An 18,535-nucleotide genomic window follows, 5' to 3' on the forward strand; every position below is an offset into this window, starting at 1 on the left:
CAGGAGCCAGGGGAGAAGGTCAGCTGGATGCAGCCAGGAAGGGCGGCTGGGAAGGAGACCTCGGCCACCAGGAAGGGGGGCTGGGAAGGAGACCTCAGCCACCAGGAAGGGGGGGCTGGGAAGGAGACCTCAGCCATGCCAGCACTCACCCGGCAGAAGGCTGTGACCAGAGGCAGCAGAGCCGCCGCAATGCCATGCTCGTCCAGAGAAGTGCAGTCCTGCAGGTAGAGCGAGAGACCGTCAGGACCTCTCCCCTCCCAGGCAGCACTCACCTCCCACCATGCCCCCACCACCCCATAACCACCACAGACCAGCACCTGACACCCTTGGCTCCAGCTCCCCAAGGCTGCCTCAGAGGCTCAATATCAGGAGACCCCAGGCCCCAGCACCTGCCCCCAACAATGGTTCTCTCCACCCTGTTCCCTGCAGACCGAGGACCCCTGCCCACTGGCACAGGAGTCTCTTGCACCGTCTCTCCACTCTCACTCACAGACCAGGGTCTGCCCGCCTGTTCCCGCTCATGCGCCATGAGCCATGTCACTAGCAGGATAAGAGGCCTCACCTGCAGGCAGCAGTTCATCATACGGACGACAAAGTCAAACTGCTGGTGGTCCAGGACCGCACGGTTCTGCTGCACATGCAGGTGCAGCTCCTGGGCGAGGCAGCGGCGGGCAGCTCGCCCCTTCAGGGCCCTCAACACGGCTGGGAGCAGCTGGGGGTGGGGAAAGGAGACACGGGCTGAGGGCACAGAGAAGACCCACTCGGGGCCCTGGCAGGGAGGGCAGCAGGTGTCCAGGAGACCCAAATGCCTTTCAGGTGGGGTGTGCCAGACTCTGGGGCTTTGCCGACCAATAAAGACTAAAACCTCCAGTGGGCCCGACAACTCCACAAGTACAAGTTCACCAGGCCAGACACAAGGACGCAGATGCTGCACCTGTGAGCTGGCAGGGAGGTGCGCTCCGGAGGGAGGCCTTGCGGGCCGGGCCCCCTTGCTCACAGGCTCACAGCTGCCTGGCTGGCTCAGTGACTCGCCTGGCACAGGCCCGGCCACAGAAAGCCTTGGAGTTTGCGTTCTATTGCTACAACGTTCATCACAAAACTGGCCGCCCCAAAGGGACACCATACAGCCAATGAAAAACAAGAGTCTCCAACTGGCCATGATGAAAGACCCCAGAGGCGTTAAGTGAGCACCACAGAGAGCAAAACAGCAGGAGCAAAAAGCTCTGTTTCCATAAGATGCAAGGAACAGGTCACGTATGGAGGGAGCAAGCTCTGTTTTCCATCAAGTACAAAGAACAGGTCGTGTATGGGCCTACCCAATTTAAGGGGAAGGACACAGACGAAACATAATAGTGAAACCTTCTGATTTCTAAAAATGGAAGTACATCTCCCTGGCTGGGTCTCCCGCGCAGGCCCGACCCACCCCTCACTGAGGTCAAGAGAGGAGACCTGGAGCCCACCTACCCTCCGGCCAGCCCAGCCACCTCTAGCTGTCTGTTAGGCAGAGGAGGCCCTGGGGCAGCGTCAGCACTCACAAGGGTGAAGTGCAGCCTGGGTCTCCTCTGAAACCCGCTGCCCTGGCCCGGCTGGAGCCTGCACAGCCCTCACCTTCTTGGCCTCAAGCATTTTCCCCTCAAACACGTAGGAGATGCAGTTGCGCACAACCTCCAGCCGCCGGGCGCTGTTGACATGCAGCCCACTGCACCGCTCCAGTATGGCAGCTGCGGGGACAGAATACACACACTCGGACCCCTGACCCCACGCCCATCCTGGGCCACGCTCGGGGCCTGCCTTCCCCTCCCTCATTACGCACTCATGGGGGGCCCTGAGGGCACGGTGGTCCTCCTCTCGGCCTTCACAGCTGGGGGTGCACCCTGCATCTTGGCTGCAGCCTGGTCCACGATCCACTGCACGGTGCCCTCATCCAGCCGGGGGAAGGGTCGGGGCACCCGTCGCAGGTGGCTGCTCTCACCGGGCCTCTGTACCTTGTGCATCGCCACGGCTGGGTACGGGTTCTCCTGTGGGGAGACGGCAGGTGTGGGGCAGGGGCCCAGGGATCAAGGCGGTACGACGCCCTCCCGTCCTGCTACCCTCGTACGTTCTTGTAGAGCTGCTCTGCCAGTTCCTGGACGTGACGCAGGACACGCTGGGGGTGGTTCTCATCCGCCCGCATCCTTGCCACCTCGTGGGCCACCAGCTAGCGGGGTAAGCAGGAGGTTAGGTAAGCCATGGTCAGGCGGAGCCAGGGCAGGGGGCTGGGAGGGCAGGGTGGAGGTGCACCTCATCGAACAGGTCCGTAGGGCGGTATGGGACCCCACGCTCTGACACAAAGCCAGCAAAGGCCATGCCCTCCAGCACCTTCATCAGGAAATCGTCCTCTACCAGCCCACGCTGGCCCAGGAAGGCTGCCTGGATGACAGAAGGAGGTCGGTCCCTCAGGGGTCTCCACCATGCGCTTATCTCCTACCCCACGCCCAGCCACCAGGCACCCCACCTTATGGAAGCGGATGACAGGCTCCGGGTGGATGCGCACGACGTGCAGGCACCAGCGATAGCCCTGCAGCAGCTGAGCGAACAGCCGCAGGAAGACCGCGCGCAGCTCCTTGTCCTGGGAGAAGAGCTGAGTGCAGGTGAGAGCCAGTCCTGCCAATCCCCACCCCAGGCTGCCCAGGAGCTTCTCCACACCCCAACCCACCCCAAGCTGCCCCGCTCCCATCCTTCTGCCCCTCCCACCATTCTGCACTCAGGGCCACCAGCTCCTCTGAAACTGTCTGGACAAGGCACTCCTGGCTCAGCACCCTCAAGGGCTCCTGTGATCAGACGCCAAGTTCCAGCCCCTTGCTGGGCCCCTGCCGCCTCGCCTGCACCACTCACGACCACCACTCCTAACTGCTGGCAGCTGCTTTGCTCCCAGGCTCCTGCTTCTGCTACTGGAGCCGGGGCCAGCCTGGGGGTGGGGCCCTGTGTGTCAGTGGCAGCAGACCTGAGTGGGGGCAGCCTAAGTGCCTGGGGTCCCCATGCAGGAGCAGCAACGACCCCCACCTGCATCTTCAGGGAGGAGGTGGATGTCGTGGGCGGAGGGAAGGCGAGGTCAGCCAACTCCAGCTCCGGGTCCAGGACCTGCCAGCACAGAATGGAGCAGGCAGCTGCACGCTGGCCCCGGCTCTAGGCTCCCCGTGCTGCCAGGTAGCCACATCCCAAAGGCCCCCAAGGCTCCCGCTTGCCCATGGTGCCCCTCACCATGCTCAGCACACTGTGCGTCTGACTCTGCAGTGGCTCTGGCAAGGGTGGAATGTGCACACACTCAGGAATGGTGACCGTCCCTCCATCCAGATCAGCAACAATCACATCGAGCTGCGGACCAAGGGAGCCGGCAGTCAGGGACCTGCAGGCCTGGGCCGTGAGGTGGACACAAAGCACAGCCCTTACCAGCTCCTGGGTCTCTGCCTGGAAGGCCGCGTTGACCCCAATGATGAAGGGCGTGGGTGTGCTGAGGACCTCCAGCAGCTGAGCCGGCAGGATGGGCACATAGGTGAAGCTGTGCAGGCCCCAGAGGATGCAGTGAGCCAGGGGACGCGGCTGGGCAAAGGGGCCAGGAGAAGGGGCTGGGAGGGCCGGGCAGGGGTCACCTGTATCTGAGAGGAAACAGCAGTGCCAGGAGGCCCCTACAGGCATCGGCGAGCCGCTGGTAGCTCCGGGACAGGAAGAGAACCTTGTGCTCCGTGAGGGCGGCACAGAACAAAGACAGCACGTTGGTGATGCCTAAAGGAAGAAGAGAAGCTTGGAGAGGACCCTGGGCCCCCACCCAGGCAGAGTGAGAACCCACATCCCTAACTACCAGTCCCCGAGGGGAAGCCATGCGGGGGTGGGACAGACAGGCTCACCTAGCTGGCGGAAGAGCAGGGCCACGCTGCAGCGGCTGACGGGCAGCGAGTCGGCCAGTGGAGTCTGGATGACCTGCCGGTCACCAGCCCCCAAAGAGATCGTCCTCTGCAGCAAAAAAAGGATCGGGGCTCAGTAGTTTGGCCAGAGCCAGCCCAGAGTCAGCCCAGAGCTCTGTGTCCCCAGGCAGACCCTGGTGTACTGACAGACCCGAGGTGGGACTGGCTGGGATGGGCAACATGGCAAGAGGGAAACGCCATGCCCTGCCTCTGTTGTCCCAAGCAGCTGCAGAGAAAACTCAGGACAGGAGTGGCTGCTTTTGACTTGGGGGTAGGGATGGGGCCTAGGTGGGCGGAAGAAACAAAGAATCCATACCGCTCCTTCCTCAACAGAGTCCAGCTGCACAGGACAGACGGGCAGAAAGACACGGTTAGACACTCCAACACACCCAGGCACAGGGCAGGGAGCAGACAAACAAGCTGACATCAACATCCAGAGACAGGCACACACCATCAAAGGAGTGGACAGAGAGGCTGAACGACACAGGCCCAGAGCACAGGTGCGAGGGCCAGGTAAGCAGGCCAGGACTGTTGGGGGCAATGGTGGCACGAGGACGCAAGAGGGAGCATCCAAGGCCTCCAGCTGTGTGTGGCTCTGGCTGGGCTCCAAATACCTACCAGGGCCCCAGCAGGAGGGCCTGTGGCTGTGCAGATACCAGCTGCCTCCAAAACTCACCTGCGAGCCCCCAGCCAGGGGCACAGTGCACGTCAGCAGGTTCCCAATCACGTTCTCCAGGCACACATTCAGGCCCTCCACGTGGATGGCATAGATGAGGCCAAGGCTGTTCTGCAATGACCAGAGCGGGGAGTGGTGGGACAGCCGATGGAAGCACCCTCGTCGTGCCTCGCCGCCCCGGCTGCCGGCCTCACCCTGAACACCTCCGTGTGGTCGAGTCGCGACACCAGTACCAGCGTCTTCGGTGCAAACAGCTGGGCAGATGGGGCAGGTGCTGTGGGAGACAGGTGGGTCTGGCCTCCCTCATCCCCCTCTTCCTCCCTCTCTGTGGCATCCTCCACGCGCGTCGTTTCCTGCTGGGGGTCAGGGGGAGACGGGGGCAGGGGGAGTTGGCCACGGCCCAAGGATGCAGCTTCATTCATGCTGTACCCAGAGGCCCCAAGCTGACCTGTGAAGGCTCCGCTGGCTCCCAGAAGGTCAAGCAGGCGCAGTAGTGGCGCTCGGAGTTGATGTCGGTGAGGACAGCAACAAAGAAGGTCGGTGGATTCCTCTCGGGACACAGCTGCCACCCGCTGGGCTGGCAAAACTGCAGGGAAGGCTCAGCAGTCAGCTCCTCCCCCTACACCTGTGGCAGGAACCAGCCCACCCGCCCCAGCATCTGCACCACCAGGCCTGGAGGCTCCAACACACACAGGCAGCTCCTTGCTTGGAGACCCTGGGGACACGTGGCCTCCTGGGCCTCAGTCTCTCCGGGTGAAGGGAGTAACAGCCTCTGACCTCCCCACCTGGGGCAAGGACCAGGAGATGGGAGAACAGTCCCCACCATCATGAGTGAGTGACAACATGACACAGTGACATGAGCACCGCACAGGCCGCCGGCCAAGCCGGTCAAACCCCCCGACAGAGGCTCTGCTGTCTTGTCCCTAGCCCAGCGGGGGGCCGGGCACTGTGGAGGCCCCTCAGTCAGGGACAAGGGCAGGGCTGTGCCCACCTGCCCTCCCCACCTGCCAGCACCGTCTCAGCACGCCCCCAACTCACCAGCTCGATGCCCTGGGGGAATGGGTTGTCCTCCCAGTCCTTCTCTGGGAAGCGCTGCAGAATCTGGCCCTGGCCTTCCCCACTCCCTGAGGACAAGAACAGGGGGTCAGAGCACCCAACCCGCCCCCCACCCACCAGGAGGCTTGAGGATCCCAGGGTGGAAACATTCCCACCCACTGGGCCCTCATCTGGCACCAGATCAGCCACAGCTCCCTAAAAATAGCTCCGTATGGAGAGTCTGCTTGACAGCTGCAGACCCCAGGGCCACCTGAGGGTAGAGAAGCCCCTGCCGCTACACCCCATTCTCCGATCCCACCCCAGAGACCTCCTTCAGCCTGACCAGCCCAGCTTCACACAGCACAGCAGCCCTCCATCGAAGGTCAACACTTCGGGACTGTTCCACAGGCCCCCACAGCATCTGCCACCACCGCCAGGCCCCCACTTAGGCTCTCGGCCCCCCAACAGTGGGCATCCCCCAGAGCTCCCTGTCACCCACCAGCCCTGGACCCAGCCGGGGGTGTGGAGGACTCAAACCTGCTGTCTGTGTGGGGTTCAAGAAGCCTCAGCCCCACAAGGCTAGAGGACACCCCCTGCGCCCACAGCCCCAAACTCTTCCCTATCCCAGCTGCTTCAGAGACAGACAAGTCCCCAGTACAGGTCCCAGAAGATGGGGTTTGGCAGCTCCCTGTTAGAACACCAGCCCCACAGCCAGCAGGACCTAGAGGGGCAGCAGCTAGACGGGAAGGATGGAGACTTGGTCCAGGACGACCACCGAAGGATGCCCAGATGGCTTCCTGAGCACCTGGACCCCAGCAGCTCTCAGAGGAGAGTGGGACGGTGGTCACACCCAGGCCTGCTCCCTGTCTCCAAATCTCCCTGTACAAAGGCCATAGGATGGGTGCTGAGCACAGCCTAAGCTCCCCTGGGCCAGGAGGAGGGCTTTCAGGGCAGGGAGAGCCAAGAGGCCTATGTCTCCCCACCAGACCCCTCCTCTCCGTGGGGCCCCAGAACTACCACATCCAGGGCCCTGTTTCCAGGCCCAGTCCACACCGGTGGGGTAAAGGTCCCTGCCTGTGGCTCACCCCTGGAGAGCCAAACCAGGAAGCCCGGTGGGGACCACAGTGGGACACTCAGGGTGTGGCTCCCGCAGCAGGACGGCTCCGCAGGCCTCCCAGGGCTTGTGGAGGATGGAGCAGGTGCAGCAGGAAAGACGAAAGCCTGCCTGCCTTCTCCTCCACACAAACCGCAGGTCCCCAGGGCCCATCCTCTGTCTGGACGGGCCTCTACACCGCCACCCACCTGGCGGAAGCAGCAGAGCCAGATGGGCAAGGCGGGGGTCATGCTCAACACAGAGCCCCTCATGGACCCCCCACCCCGGCCCCCAAGAAGCTGCAGCCCCACATCCAGCATGCCTGGTCCTCCTGGGAACAGATGAGCAACTCTGGCAGCCCAATGGCACACACTCCACGGGTCCCCTACAGGCGGGGAGACCATCTGCCCTCCAGGGTTACAGGGGCAGAGCCAAGGAAGTCGGCAGTGGGCAGGCTGCTGCTAAGTGGGAGATGGTGGGGCGGTGAGGGGCCGATTCTGACTCACAAAACCTCAGCTTCCTGCTCCCCTCCCCCTCCCACCGACACCCTGCAGAGGACAGGCGGCAGACGGGTGGGGGCCCAGGTGTCTGCGGGTGCCACACCTACCTCCACACCCCCAAGGACAGCTCACTCAGGCGCAGGCCCTGAGCTGCGGCTCCTCCCCCACCCCGCCCACTCCCCCAAAGGCCTCCTTGTGTTTGGCCCCAAACCACCATCTGGGCCCAGCCCTGGCTGGCACCCAGGGCTCACCCAGTTCTTGCCACGAGGCAGCAGGTGGAGGAAGGAAGAGGGGTTTATGAACAGGGACAGCAGTCTCTGCACTGCAGCCTCCCCAAGGCCAGGAAGGGAAGGCAGCCTTCCCCAGGAGGATGGGCAGAGTGGCAGGTCACCATCTACCTTGACCCTCTCCACCCCCCGCTAGTCTTGTGAAGCATCAACTCTCACTCAGCCTTAAGTCCTCTGCAGGGCTCTACCCTCCAAAGAGCCAGCCCTGAGCTCCACTCTCCTTGGGCTGGCCCAATGGCCCAAGTGGGCCAGGCCAAGCAGGCACCTCTCCCTGAGCTCCTCTGTGCCATGACAGCCCCAGACTGGCCCTTCAGGTCTCAGCCCACAGAGCACCCCCTCCCCTGGGAAACTCTGCCCCAGCCTGGGGCCTACAGGGACCCTAGGACCGACCTCCCTCCACCACACCCCAGTGACTGCTAGTGCACCTGTTGGCTTGGCTGGGACGGACCACAGGCTAATTAGGGCTTGTAGAACACGTACAGTCGGCTACACAACCATCCTCCCCACACCCAACAAGCAAACAGGTTCCTCAGTCGGAAGTACAGGGCACCTTCCGGAGCCCCAGGGAATGACAGAACACAGCTGGCCCCTGGAAAGGCAGGCCATGGAGGGCCCTGCAGCCCTCAGCTGTGAGCAGCTCTCCTCCTCACCCTTCTGAGGTCCCAGCCTGCACCTCAGCTCTGTGCTGTCCGGGGCCAGGCCACATCTTGGCCTCCAGGGGGATGTGGGGGGTTTTGCCACATCTTCCCAGGGTCCCCCACCCACTGAAGCTCTATTGCCATAGGAGTGACCTCCAGCAGCTGAGCTCCTTGCCCATCAGAGTGCTGCCTTTACCTCAGAATACACAGGAGGGAGGGTGCCCTCCCCACTCCTCCCCTTGGCAACAGGACGAATCCAAACGGTGTGCTGGGTGGCACTGGGCACCAAGGTTTCCTTGCCACCTCCACCTCTGAACATGGGGCTGAGGGGGCCACCTAAGGACAACACTGGGGCTTCTGTCCTGAAAGCCCCTCAAAGAGCACTCCCTCCTGCACCAATGTCCCTGCGGCCAGCCCCACGCAGACGGCAGGCCTGAAAGGCGGGCGGGCGGGCAGGCGAACACAGACCTCGCGTTCTGTCATCTGCTGGCAGCACCCCATCATCAGTGCCAGGCTCTGACGCCTGGAGGGCTGGCCCAGGCCAGCGTGTGCTGTGGGGAGGCAAAGAAGGATGGCAGCCTCTCCTGTTTCCCCACCACACTCCCCACAGTGCACGAAGACCAGCCCTGGCCGGCTCTGCTGCTTGTGGGGAACCCAGCTATAGGAAAAGAGAAAAGAAGGAAGGACAGCACCTTCCTGCTACGCCACCCACCCAACCCCAACGTGCACATGGCTCCCTCGGCCGCAGCAGCAGGCCATGCGCAGGGCCCCTGCAGCTTCCACAGCCATCCCCCCCAACCTCCCCTGCCCATCAGACCTGAGCAGTTCTGACCCAAGGCCTTGGACCCCTTCCGGCTCCCAGGGTGGAGGCTGGGAGGCAGTTGAGGCCATCCCAAACAGCCCCAACCCGCTCCAGAGGGAGGGCAGGAACGTGGGTGGGGACAGTAGATGGGGCTCAAGAATGCAGCCAGCACATCACAGTCAGGAGGAGAGGCGAGGCCATAGGGTGAAAGGTCTTTTTCTCAGATCCAAGGGGTCCAGCCCCTCCTCCCAGGCAGATGCACACTCAGCTGCTGGAGATGGAAGGCCGATGGCCAGGTCAGGGCCAGATCAAATGTGTCTCCTGTTCTCAAAGACACCTCAGCACTGGCCACGCTGTGATCAGGCCAAGAGCCGGGCAGAGGCAGTCTGTCTAGTCCTGATGCCTGCCCCAGAGCACAGAAGGTGATCCCTGACTCACCAGGTGAGGGGCCTGCAGATGGGCCAGCGCTGGCCACCATCACTCTCTGAGGTGAAAGGGTCACGGCCAGCACAGGCATTTACCTTCTCAGGGCCCCTCCCCACCTTTCCTGAGAGGTTTCCAGCTGGTAACCACTAGCAACTGGGATGCTGCCTCAGGCAGGACTCATGCACCCTCAGCACCCTGGTGCTGCACCCAGCAGCTCCAGACAGGATGTCCAGATCCAGGCCAAGACAAGCTATCCGCCAATCCTAATCCCCAACCCAAGAGACCCTGCATCCCGCCCTGAAGTCCTAGCCTGACAGAACAGAGAGGATCCTCTACCCACTCAGAAGTGCCTGTTGTGTCTGTGCCTAGAGAGTTCACACACCTGCTGCTCAGTCACTAATGAAAGAAACTCATCATTTCCAGGGCCTCCTGTGTGCTACTGCTTCACACCTGTGCATTCGCTGCATCCTCACGGCAGCCTGGGAGGTTAGCATGACTCACTCCATCCCCAGATGAGGAAACTGAGGCACAGAGAGCCAAACAACTGGCTCGAAGTCACAAGGCTATCAAGGGGCAAAGCAGAGACAAGTGACCCCCACGCCACACTCCTCTGCTTCTTCCCCCAGCTCCCACCGGCCCTGGTACCTGGCTCTGCCCTCAGCCCATGACCAGGGTCCCAGTCTATAGCCTTGTTCCCCTCAAGAATGAACAAGTCCTTCTAAGGGGTGCCTGGGGCTGCAAGGCCAGCAAGCAGCTGACCAGCTCAACCCCAGAAGGTAGTGGGTACAGGGCTCCACGGTCCTCCAACCCTACTGCAGTGGACCACTTATCACTCCTTCCGGTCACTTAGGGGAAGGGGGGGCACCTTGGGCTCCAGCCTTCTACCCTGTCCTGCGCAAAGGACACACACAAACAGGTGCCTGCACTACGTGTGGCTCCAGCAGTGAGCACACACGTCACAGCCAGCTTGTTGTGGAGCCCACTCTGCCTCTTCTCTCTGCCTACCTTCAACTCCTCACCCCACGGCCACCACGCCTCCCACCTGGCCTTTGCCTGCAGTCTCTACCAACCCAAACCCTCTCCACACTGCCCTCAGGATCATCAGGGTCATTATCAGCTGTTCCTGTAGCCCCCGCCCCAGCCCTCAGCCCAAGGCCCCTCACGCCAAGACAGCCCTCAGCCAGCCTTGCTTCCCTGGATCCTCAGGCACCCTCTGCCCCAGGTGGTAAGGCCTCCTCCATGCCCCTCATAGGTGCCTCGGTGCAGACAGCTCCCTCTGTGGGTCAAGACAACATTGACAGCCAACCTGCACAGTGGGGATGAGGACTATGTGGTCCTAGCAAGCGAGAACTCCCTCTCTAAAGAAAAAGACAGATGCTCATGACTGACGGTGCCATAAGACACACACTTGGATAGACATGAGCAGAGAGGAGTGTGTGCTGAGTAAGAGGGCACTGAGGAGGGGCTGGAGACGAAGAAGATGCTAAAGAGGCTTCAGGAAGTGTAGGGGGGTGTCCAGCAGAAGAAACACAAAAAAGAGAGAACTCCAGGTCCTTGGTGGGGACAGTGACAACTGGACTGACAAAAAACAGGGTAACTGGGAAGGCAAGCTCAATCCCACCTCCAGGCTCAAGATCCAGCCCCTGCCTGACCACACAGCCATCCCCACACACTGCCAGTCTGCAGCTGGGATCTGACAGCCTGAGTGCCAGTCCCAGCCTCTCTGAGCCGGCTCAGGCCAGGCAGTCAGCTTATCCGCGCCTAACTTCTCTACAGATGGGGGCAACACCAGGGCAACCCCGGTGGGCTGCTGGGAGGAAGAGGTGAGATCATGTACACAAAGGGCTGTGCGGGGCCTGGCACACCAAGCACGCTCGCCAACGCTGCTGTCTCCAGGCTGTTGCTGATGTCATCGTCAGGCTCCGTTTTCTCCTACCTCCTGGGCTGAAGAGCTCTCAGACACGGGCGCTGACCCCACACACAGACCTCCTGGGCATGGGCACCGACCGCCACGCTGATACCCCACCCAGGGCTTGGCGTGCAGGGCCTGGACCGTCAGGCGAGTCGCCAGGAATGCTCTTCTCTCTACTCTCGACGCTTCCTCCTCAAATCCTCCCAGTTTCAAATCAAACACCGCTTCTCCATGCACCAAACCCGAACTCCACCCCCTCTTTGCACCCCGCCAAGACCGCCGGGGGCTTCAGACGGAGCACCAAGGTCAGAGGCGGGCTGGCGAGCCGCGGGTCCGCGCCCCTGGAGCCACTAGAGCCACAGCCGCCCGCAGCTGGCCAAGGAGAGAGCCCGTCCCACCCCAAGGAGGCCGGGCAGGCCGGGCCCAGCCTTCTCTCCCTGCCGCCACCAGGCCCGCGCGGCCACGCCGCCCCCAGCGGACGCCCATTCTCCCCACGGGCTGTCCGGTCGGCCCTGGCCTTCAGTCCCCGCCCGGCCCCCGGCCCCGGCCCTCAGTCCTCGGCTCCCCCGACCCCGGCCCTCAGCGCCCAGCCCCCGGTCCTCGGCCCTCAGCGCCCGGCCCTCAGTCCTCGGCCTCCCGACCCAGCCCCCAGCCCTCGGCCCCCAGCCCCCGGCCCTCGACCCTCAGACCCAGCCCCTGGCCCTCAGCACTCGACCCTCGGCCCCCGGCCCTCAGCGCTTGGCCTCGGCACTCACCGCGCGGGTGCGGCCCGAACGCCACCAGCACGAAGTAGTCCGCGAGCCGCGCCATGGCGAGGGACGCGGGGCGGCCCGAGGGGCGCGGGCGGGCTCCGCGGCTCGGGGACTCGAGGACGGCGCGCTCATGGCCCGGCCCCGGCCCTGGACCGCGCACCCCGGACACCCCTGGTTCGCTCCGCGGCGGCGGCGGCGGCGGCGGCGGCGGCCCAGGTTCCCGCCGCCATCTTCCCAGCCAGCCGGCCCGCCCGGGCGCGCCGTGCGCCTGCGCGCTGTCGTCAAGCCCTGAGCGGGCGGGGCCTGCAACCGCGCATCTCCATTGGTCCAGAGGGTGGGAGGGCGGCTCCCGAGAGCAGCGCCCCGCCCATCGCTGACCACTCTGGGGCCCGAGCACCGCCCCTCGGGCCGGGCACCTGGACTACGGCTCCGGCGGGTCTGACGCCCTGACCCGGGTCGGCTGTGGTGTCGGCGGGAGGCATGGGCCAGGACCACAGCTGCCCTCGCCGTTGGGACTCCCCGCACAGGAGCCCGAACCCCACCCCTGGGCCGTCCCAATCTGGGGATCGGGTCCCCAGACTCCTCGTCCCCCGCCCCTCTCTGTCCAGCGGGAGAAAGGCGGGAGAAGCCTAGGCGCTGCCTACCGGGCCCCCCAAACTAGAAGTCAGAGGAGGCGCAGGGCCATCACCTCAGGGGCTGCCAGCCTGGCGATGGGGAACAGAGAGAGAATTCAGGCCCTGCCCTTGGGGTCCCAGGCTGAAGAGCCCCCATCTAGGCCAAGTGAGACATTTAACACAGCTTAAAAACGGCACGCTCATGTCCCCCTGTAAAGAGCAAATGTTCTAAGCGTGTGAGGCACATGAGGCCACGGAGCAGGGGGCTCTGGGAAAGCTGCATCCCCCAGGATCCCTGACAGTGCCCACCCCTCTCAAGGGCAGGGCTGGCCAGGGCCACCCCTGAAGTGGCTCAGGGATGAGCATGAGCCCAGAGCAGAACATGCTGGGAGAGAAGGTGCAGGAGCCAGCCTGGTGCAGCAGGGAAACCCCTCTGAGCACAGCAGGCCAAGGTCTGTTTTTTGTTATGTTTTGTTTTGTTTTTGAGGCAGAGTCTCAATCCGTCACCCAGGCTGAAGTGCAGTGACACCATCTTGGCTCACTGGAACGTCCGTCTCCTGGGTTCAAGCAATTCTCCCGCCTCAGCTTCCCGCGTAGCTGGGATTACAGGTGTGCACCACCATGCCCGGCTAATTTTTGTATTTTAGTAGAGAGGGGGTTTCACCATGTTGGCCAGGCTGGTCTTGAACTCCTGACCTCAGGCCATCCACCCACCATGGCGTCCCAAAGTGCTGGGATTACAGGCATGAGCCACCGCCCCCAGCCCGAAGGTCTGTTTTTTGTTTTTTGTTTGTTTTTGTTTGTTTGTTTTGAGACAGAGTCTCGCTCTGTCGCCCAGGCTGGAGTACAGTGGCGTGATCTTGGCTCACTGCAAACTCCGCCTCCCAGGTTCACATCATTCTCCTGCCTCAGCCTCCCGAGTAGCTGGGACTACAAGCACCTGCCACCACGCCCAGCTAATTTTTTGTATTTTTAGTAGCGACAGGGTTTCACTGTGTTAGCCAGGATGGTCTCGATCTCCTGACCTCGTGATCCGCCCATCTCGGCCTCCCAAAGTGCTGGCATTACAGGTGTGAGCCACCGCGCCTGGCCCTGAAGGTCTGTTTTTAAATGAGTTTGGCTGCTGCAAGAACTGGCCAAATGACTGGCATCCAGTCTCCATCCATGGGCAGGAGCCAGCCCAAGAGAATGAATGGAATCAAACTGAGAGGCCCCACCAGGGTCCCCTCCCTGCCCTCAGGCACAGGCCACGCTACGCCTCTCCTCTCCCACTGTTGGTTTTCACAGGTTGAGAAATCATCTTTTTAAAATTTAATTTTTTTGTAGAGACAGGGTCTTGATAAGTTACCTAGGCTTGTCTTGAACTCCTGTCCTCAAATGATCCTCCTGCATCTGCCTCAAAAAGTGTTGGGATTACAGGTGTGAGAAACTGTGCCCTGCCAGAAATCCTCCTTTTTGCCCCAGCTGGCTCAAGTTGGTTTCTGTCACTTGTACCCAAAAAGGTCCTCAGCACCACACTACCACACCACTGAGCTTGTGTGCAGGCTGGCAGGGGCCCGGGGCAAGTCTGGGCTAGTGCTTGAGCCCAGGGCTGGCTCTCTTCGGAGAGACTCTAGGGACCCTGCACCGCACTCTCCACTCTCTCTGAGACTCTGGGGACCCTGCGTCGCACTCTCTCCACTGTCATGCTTCCACCAGGCCCTTGGGAACAACCATCCACAGTGGCTCAGTGTCTCAGATGGATGGATGCCCCTCCCTACCGCCCAGCCTGCTGATTTCTGGTCAGCTGTCTTGCAGTCTGCACTCTCCTCGAACCTCTCACCCCACTTCCAGTGTCTCTGAGATAATTGGCTGCTCCTCAGAGAGCAAATAGAAGCTATCAGATGGGAGCACCAAGCCCCCATCTTACACCTCTCACACCACCCCTCCCTCCATTACCACAGGGCTCTGCCCCCCTGCCCACTCCTCATCTCAGGCCATCATTCACTGTCAGTGCCCGCCGCCAAACTCCATCCTTCCCTGTCTATGGATTCCTTGCTATCAGAGTCAAACTTACCTCTGCCATCATAAAACACTCAAACAAAACCCCCCAAAGGCCGGGCGTGGTGGCTCATGCCTGTAAATCCCAGCACTCTGGGAGGCCCAGGCGGGTGGATCACTTGGCGTCAGGAGTTTGAGACCAACCTGCACAACATGGTGAAACCCCGTCTCTACTAAATATACAAAAAATTAGCCAGGCATGGTGACGCGTGCCTGTAATCCCAGCTACTCGGGAAGCTGAGGCAGGAGAGTTGCTTGAACCCGGGAGGCGGAGGTTGCAGTGAGCCGAGATCACGCCACTGCACTCCAGCCTGGGAGATAGAGCGCAACCCCATCTCAAAAAAAAAAAGGAAAAAACCCCAAGATGCTGTTTGTCCAGCCAGTTGCCACCCTAGCTTCTTTTGCTTCTCACAAGCATTCCCCAAGGCCACCGCCCCCTCCTATGGCCCAGCCCTCGCACATTTGGAAACTTGTGTCTCCCCTTCACCTGTGTCCATCATAAGCGGTGCTGGGGCAGCCCCGTCGCTCCCCAGAAGCAGCTTCTCCAACTAAGAATGGACTCACATGCAACAAGCACCAGGGACCCTGGGAATCACAGACGGGGCCTCCTCTCTGGTGGGCTGGGCAGGTGCAGAAGCAGCAGCCAGGCTGATGCCTGAGGGCAGAGGATACACCCTCCCCACAAGCTGGCGGGAGGCAGGACTGTGGCTCACAGGGGCAGCAACTGTCCTGTCATCTCAGGGCCTGAAACGCAGCCCCTCGCTGGGGCTGTCCTCCACCTGTCCCAGATTAAAAACCTTGTGAGGGCTGGGCACGGTGGCTCACGCCTGTAATCCCAGCACTCTGGGAAGCCAAGGCGGGCGGATCATGAGGTCAGGAGATCGAGACCATCCTGGCTAACACGGTGAAACTCTACTAAAAATACAGAAAAATTAGCCGGGCATGGTGGAGGGCGCTTGTAGTCCCAGCTACTTGGGAGGCTGAGGCAGGAGAATGGCGTGAACCCAGGAGGCGGAGCTTGCAGTGAGTCAAGATCACACCACTGCACTCCAGCCTGGGTGACAGAGCGAGACTCCGTCTCAAAAAAAAAAAAAAAAAAAAAAAAAAAGCCTCTTGAGGACAGGGAATTTTTGCTGGTTTTTCTTTATTGGTGGGGCGAACGATTTGATTGCACTTGTGTTTTGAAAGGACAGAGCTGGTGGCAGTGTGGAAGGCTGAGGGCCGAGTGGGGAGGCAGCAGCAGAAGCCGCAGCAGCAGATTTGGGAACCTGGGGGATCCCCTGCTCAGGCCCTTCCCTACCTGCCCCTCCAGAGCTGGCGCTGGGCTCCATCCTTGGCCAGCCTCTCCGCATTCTCTGTGGATGAGGCTCACCATATCCTCCATGGCTGCGCCATCCCTGAAACCCCAAAACTGTTCTCGACCTGCCTTATCTTTAGTCCCATGCCTGCCAGGCTGGGGAGCGACCAGACCCCTCTCCCTGGACAACCCCCAGGCAGCTCGGCCTCAGCATGTCCAGGCCCCGACCTCTTCCCACCCCCTCAGCAGCTGCCACATCAGCAAACAGAAGGGCTTCGCCGGGAACTGAGCCCCTCATTTCCCGTCCTGCCCCGCTAAATTTCTCCCACCCATCCACTCTGTCCCCTCAAGCCCTTTCTGCCTGCCTCCCCAGCACCTGCCTTCTTGGCTGCCCCTCCACCTTTCAACATAAATGTGACACTTGGCCGGGCTTGGTGGCTCACACCTGTAATCCCAGCAGTTTGGGAGGCAGAGGTGGGCGGATTGCTTGAGGTCCAGACTTCAAGATCAGCCTGGCCAGCATGGTGAAACCCCGTCTCTACTAAAAATACAAAAATTAGCCAGGTGTGGTGGCAGGCGCCTGTAACCCCAGCTACTTGGGAGGCTGAGGCAGGAGAATTACTTGAACCTGGGAGGCGGAGGTCGCAGTGAGCCAAGATTGTGCCACTGCACTCCAGCCTGGGCGACAGAGTGAGACTCCATCTCAAAAAAGCAAACAAACAACAACAACAACAAAACACTGGGTGCAGTGGCTCACACCTGTAATCACAGCACTTTGGGAGGCCAAGGTGGGTGGATCACCTAAGGTCAGGAATTCGAGACCATCCTGGCCAACATGGTGAAACCCTCTCTCAAATACAAAAATTATCTGGGCGTGGTGGTGGGCACTTATAATTCCAGCTACTCAGGAGGCTGAGGCAGGAGAATCGCTTAAACCTGGGAGGCGGAGTTTGCAGTGAGCTGAGATTTCGCCACGGCACTCCAGCCTGGGTGACACAGTGGGACTCCATCTCAAAAAAAAAAAAAACATATAAATGTGACACTCCCTGCCCCCTCAACTGGTCAAAATAAGTAAATAATACCTGCAAGGCATCCCTGCCCTCCCAGATCGGCCTGTGGGGTGTGTGCTCGGCACTCCTCGACTTATTCACCCAGCAAATGTTGACTGTGCTCCCATGGTGTGTCAGCAGGAGGGTTACGGGGTGAGCGCAGGGGTTGGGGAGACAGAAGGGGAAGCACGAACGGACGCAGAGATCCTCAGCTCACCCAACAGAGAGGCCAGTCTCAGCAGCTTGGAACCCGTGACACCAAGTCCAGGACTCGTGGACAGTGGGTAGGCGAAAGCTCTGTGGAGAACAGTGAACCATCTATCAACATAAACACATGCTCACCTTCAACCAGAATTTCTACTTCCAGGAAGGTGTCCTATAGACACATCTGTGAGCTCAAGGCAGCAACTCATGAAAAGACTGGCAGTCACCTAATTTCATATTAATAGCAGATGAGATGAATCATACAACACCTATATGTTGGAGTAGATCCAACCATAGGAAAGAGTGGGGTCTCTGATGTGAGGACGGTCGGGCTGTGACGCCTGTCACCCCACTGGTCACCAGTGTTGATTCGGCTGATGTGGCTGGCTCAGAGGCAGGTGTCCCCCTCCTTCCCCACTGTTCCCTGTGCGTCCCTCCGAAGCTGCACGCTCCATCGAAGAGGATGGAGGACCGGGCTTCGAGTAGCTGCGCTCCTCTGCCAGGACCTCCAAACAAGCTCTCAGGAAAGAACGGGGTCTCAGTCCTACTGCAAATCTGCACACATGGATGTGTGTGCCTCACATAGCCACACCTAGGTGTGCCCAGGGCAAGTCAGGAGAGGGCTCCCCCCCAGACCAGGGTAGGGGTCCCAAGTGGGTGGCAATGGTGAGGGGAGTCTCACGTTTCACTCGTTTTAAATTTTTCTTTTTCTTTTTTTTTTTTCTTTTTTTGAGACGGAGTCTCGCTCTGTCGCCCAAGCTGGAGTGCAATGCCGCGATGTCGGCTCACTGCAACCTCCGCCGCCTGGATTCAAGCCTCAGCCTTTCCTGCCTCAGCCTCCCGAGTAGCTGAGATTACAGGCACCCGCCACCACGCCCGGCTAATTTTTTGTATTTTTAGTAGAGACGGCCTTTCACCTTGTTAGCCAGGATGGTCTCGATCTCCTGACCTCGTGATCCGCCCGCCTCGGCTTCCCAAACTGCTGGGATTACAGGCGTGAGCCACCGCGCCCGGACACTTTAAATCTGTTACAAAAACCGTGCAATACTTTGGTCCGGGGTTGGAGCGGCCGAGGGTCGGTACAGCCTTTTAGGAGCGCAGCCCCGGGGTCGGCGGCACCGCGTCAGAGGAGAGCGGAATGGCCAGCCCGCTGCGGAATCCCGCGGACTTGCTGGTCAGGCTGGGGGGCCGGGGTCCACCGGGTCAGACCCTGGAGGGTGGGACCGCCCGGACTCGGGAGGTGGTTGACGGGGTGGGCCCCGTCGGGTC

At 61.2% G+C, this 18,535-nt stretch overlaps 1 protein-coding gene across 4 annotated transcripts in view, besides 8 other annotated features; it reads right to left on the reverse strand.

Moving 5' to 3' along the window:
* SBF1 (SET binding factor 1) overlaps positions 1-12,315 on the reverse strand; it is a 30,036-nt gene extending 17,721 nt beyond the window's left edge. For 2 of the 4 annotated variants that reach the window (NM_001410795.1, NM_002972.4), the window contains exons 1-17: positions 12,066-12,315; positions 5,656-5,741; positions 5,066-5,203; positions 4,812-4,970; positions 4,618-4,728; positions 3,885-3,990; positions 3,630-3,762; positions 3,430-3,538; positions 3,241-3,354; positions 3,043-3,120; positions 2,495-2,608; positions 2,281-2,409; positions 2,099-2,197; positions 1,814-2,018; positions 1,609-1,721; positions 563-712; positions 150-218 (exon numbers count right to left, since the gene is read on the reverse strand). In NM_001410795.1, coding sequence (NP_001397724.1) covers positions 150-218; positions 563-712; positions 1,609-1,721; positions 1,814-2,018; positions 2,099-2,197; positions 2,281-2,409; positions 2,495-2,608; positions 3,043-3,120; positions 3,241-3,354; positions 3,430-3,538; positions 3,630-3,762; positions 3,885-3,990; positions 4,618-4,728; positions 4,812-4,970; positions 5,066-5,203; positions 5,656-5,741; positions 12,066-12,120 — 1,968 coding nt within the window. In that variant the 5' untranslated portion in view covers positions 12,121-12,315. Of the gene's footprint in view, positions 1-149; positions 219-562; positions 713-1,608; positions 1,722-1,813; positions 2,019-2,098; positions 2,198-2,280; positions 2,410-2,494; positions 2,609-3,042; positions 3,121-3,240; positions 3,355-3,429; positions 3,539-3,629; positions 3,763-3,884; positions 3,991-4,617; positions 4,729-4,811; positions 4,974-5,065; positions 5,204-5,655; positions 5,742-12,065 lie in introns of all 4 variants that reach the window. The other 2 variants (NM_001365819.1, NM_001410794.1) reach the window with 1 other exon arrangement.
* Positions 8,018-8,077: an enhancer, noted in NCBI's record as "active region_19320". NCBI's record gives its function as "activates an Ori minimal core promoter by ATAC-STARR-seq in GM12878 lymphoblastoid cells {active_cell/tissue: GM12878}" and the evidence as "EXISTENCE:reporter gene assay evidence [ECO:0000049][PMID:35858748]".
* Positions 9,836-10,747: an enhancer, noted in NCBI's record as "H3K4me1 hESC enhancer chr22:50910985-50911896 (GRCh37/hg19 assembly coordinates)". NCBI's record gives its function as "activates a minimal SCP1, AML or CMV promoter by ChIP-STARR-seq in naive H9 embryonic stem cells {active_cell/tissue: H9 hESC(naive)}" and the evidence as "EXISTENCE:reporter gene assay evidence [ECO:0000049][PMID:30033119]".
* Positions 10,748-11,657: an enhancer, noted in NCBI's record as "H3K4me1 hESC enhancer chr22:50911897-50912806 (GRCh37/hg19 assembly coordinates)". NCBI's record gives its function as "activates a minimal SCP1, AML or CMV promoter by ChIP-STARR-seq in primed H9 embryonic stem cells {active_cell/tissue: H9 hESC(primed)}" and the evidence as "EXISTENCE:reporter gene assay evidence [ECO:0000049][PMID:30033119]".
* Positions 11,677-11,806: a silencer, noted in NCBI's record as "silent region_13979". NCBI's record gives its function as "represses an Ori minimal core promoter by ATAC-STARR-seq in GM12878 lymphoblastoid cells {active_cell/tissue: GM12878}" and the evidence as "EXISTENCE:reporter gene assay evidence [ECO:0000049][PMID:35858748]".
* Positions 12,227-12,686: a silencer, noted in NCBI's record as "silent region_13980". NCBI's record gives its function as "represses an Ori minimal core promoter by ATAC-STARR-seq in GM12878 lymphoblastoid cells {active_cell/tissue: GM12878}" and the evidence as "EXISTENCE:reporter gene assay evidence [ECO:0000049][PMID:35858748]".
* Positions 12,227-13,477: a biological region, named in NCBI's record as "H3K27ac-H3K4me1 hESC enhancer GRCh37_chr22:50913717-50914626".
* Positions 12,267-12,471: a silencer, noted in NCBI's record as "fragment chr22:50913416-50913620 (GRCh37/hg19 assembly coordinates)". NCBI's record gives its function as "represses an EF-1alpha promoter that drives an FKBP-Casp9 reporter gene in an ReSE screen in K562 erythroleukemia cells {active_cell/tissue: K562}" and the evidence as "EXISTENCE:reporter gene assay evidence [ECO:0000049][PMID:32094911]".
* Positions 12,568-13,477: an enhancer, noted in NCBI's record as "H3K27ac-H3K4me1 hESC enhancer chr22:50913717-50914626 (GRCh37/hg19 assembly coordinates)". NCBI's record gives its function as "activates a minimal SCP1, AML or CMV promoter by ChIP-STARR-seq in primed H9 embryonic stem cells {active_cell/tissue: H9 hESC(primed)}" and the evidence as "EXISTENCE:reporter gene assay evidence [ECO:0000049][PMID:30033119]".

The sequence above is a fragment of the Homo sapiens genome, chromosome 22 (genome assembly GCF_000001405.40).
Source record: "Homo sapiens chromosome 22, GRCh38.p14 Primary Assembly".
Classification (NCBI taxonomy): Eukaryota; Metazoa; Chordata; class Mammalia; order Primates; family Hominidae; genus Homo; species Homo sapiens.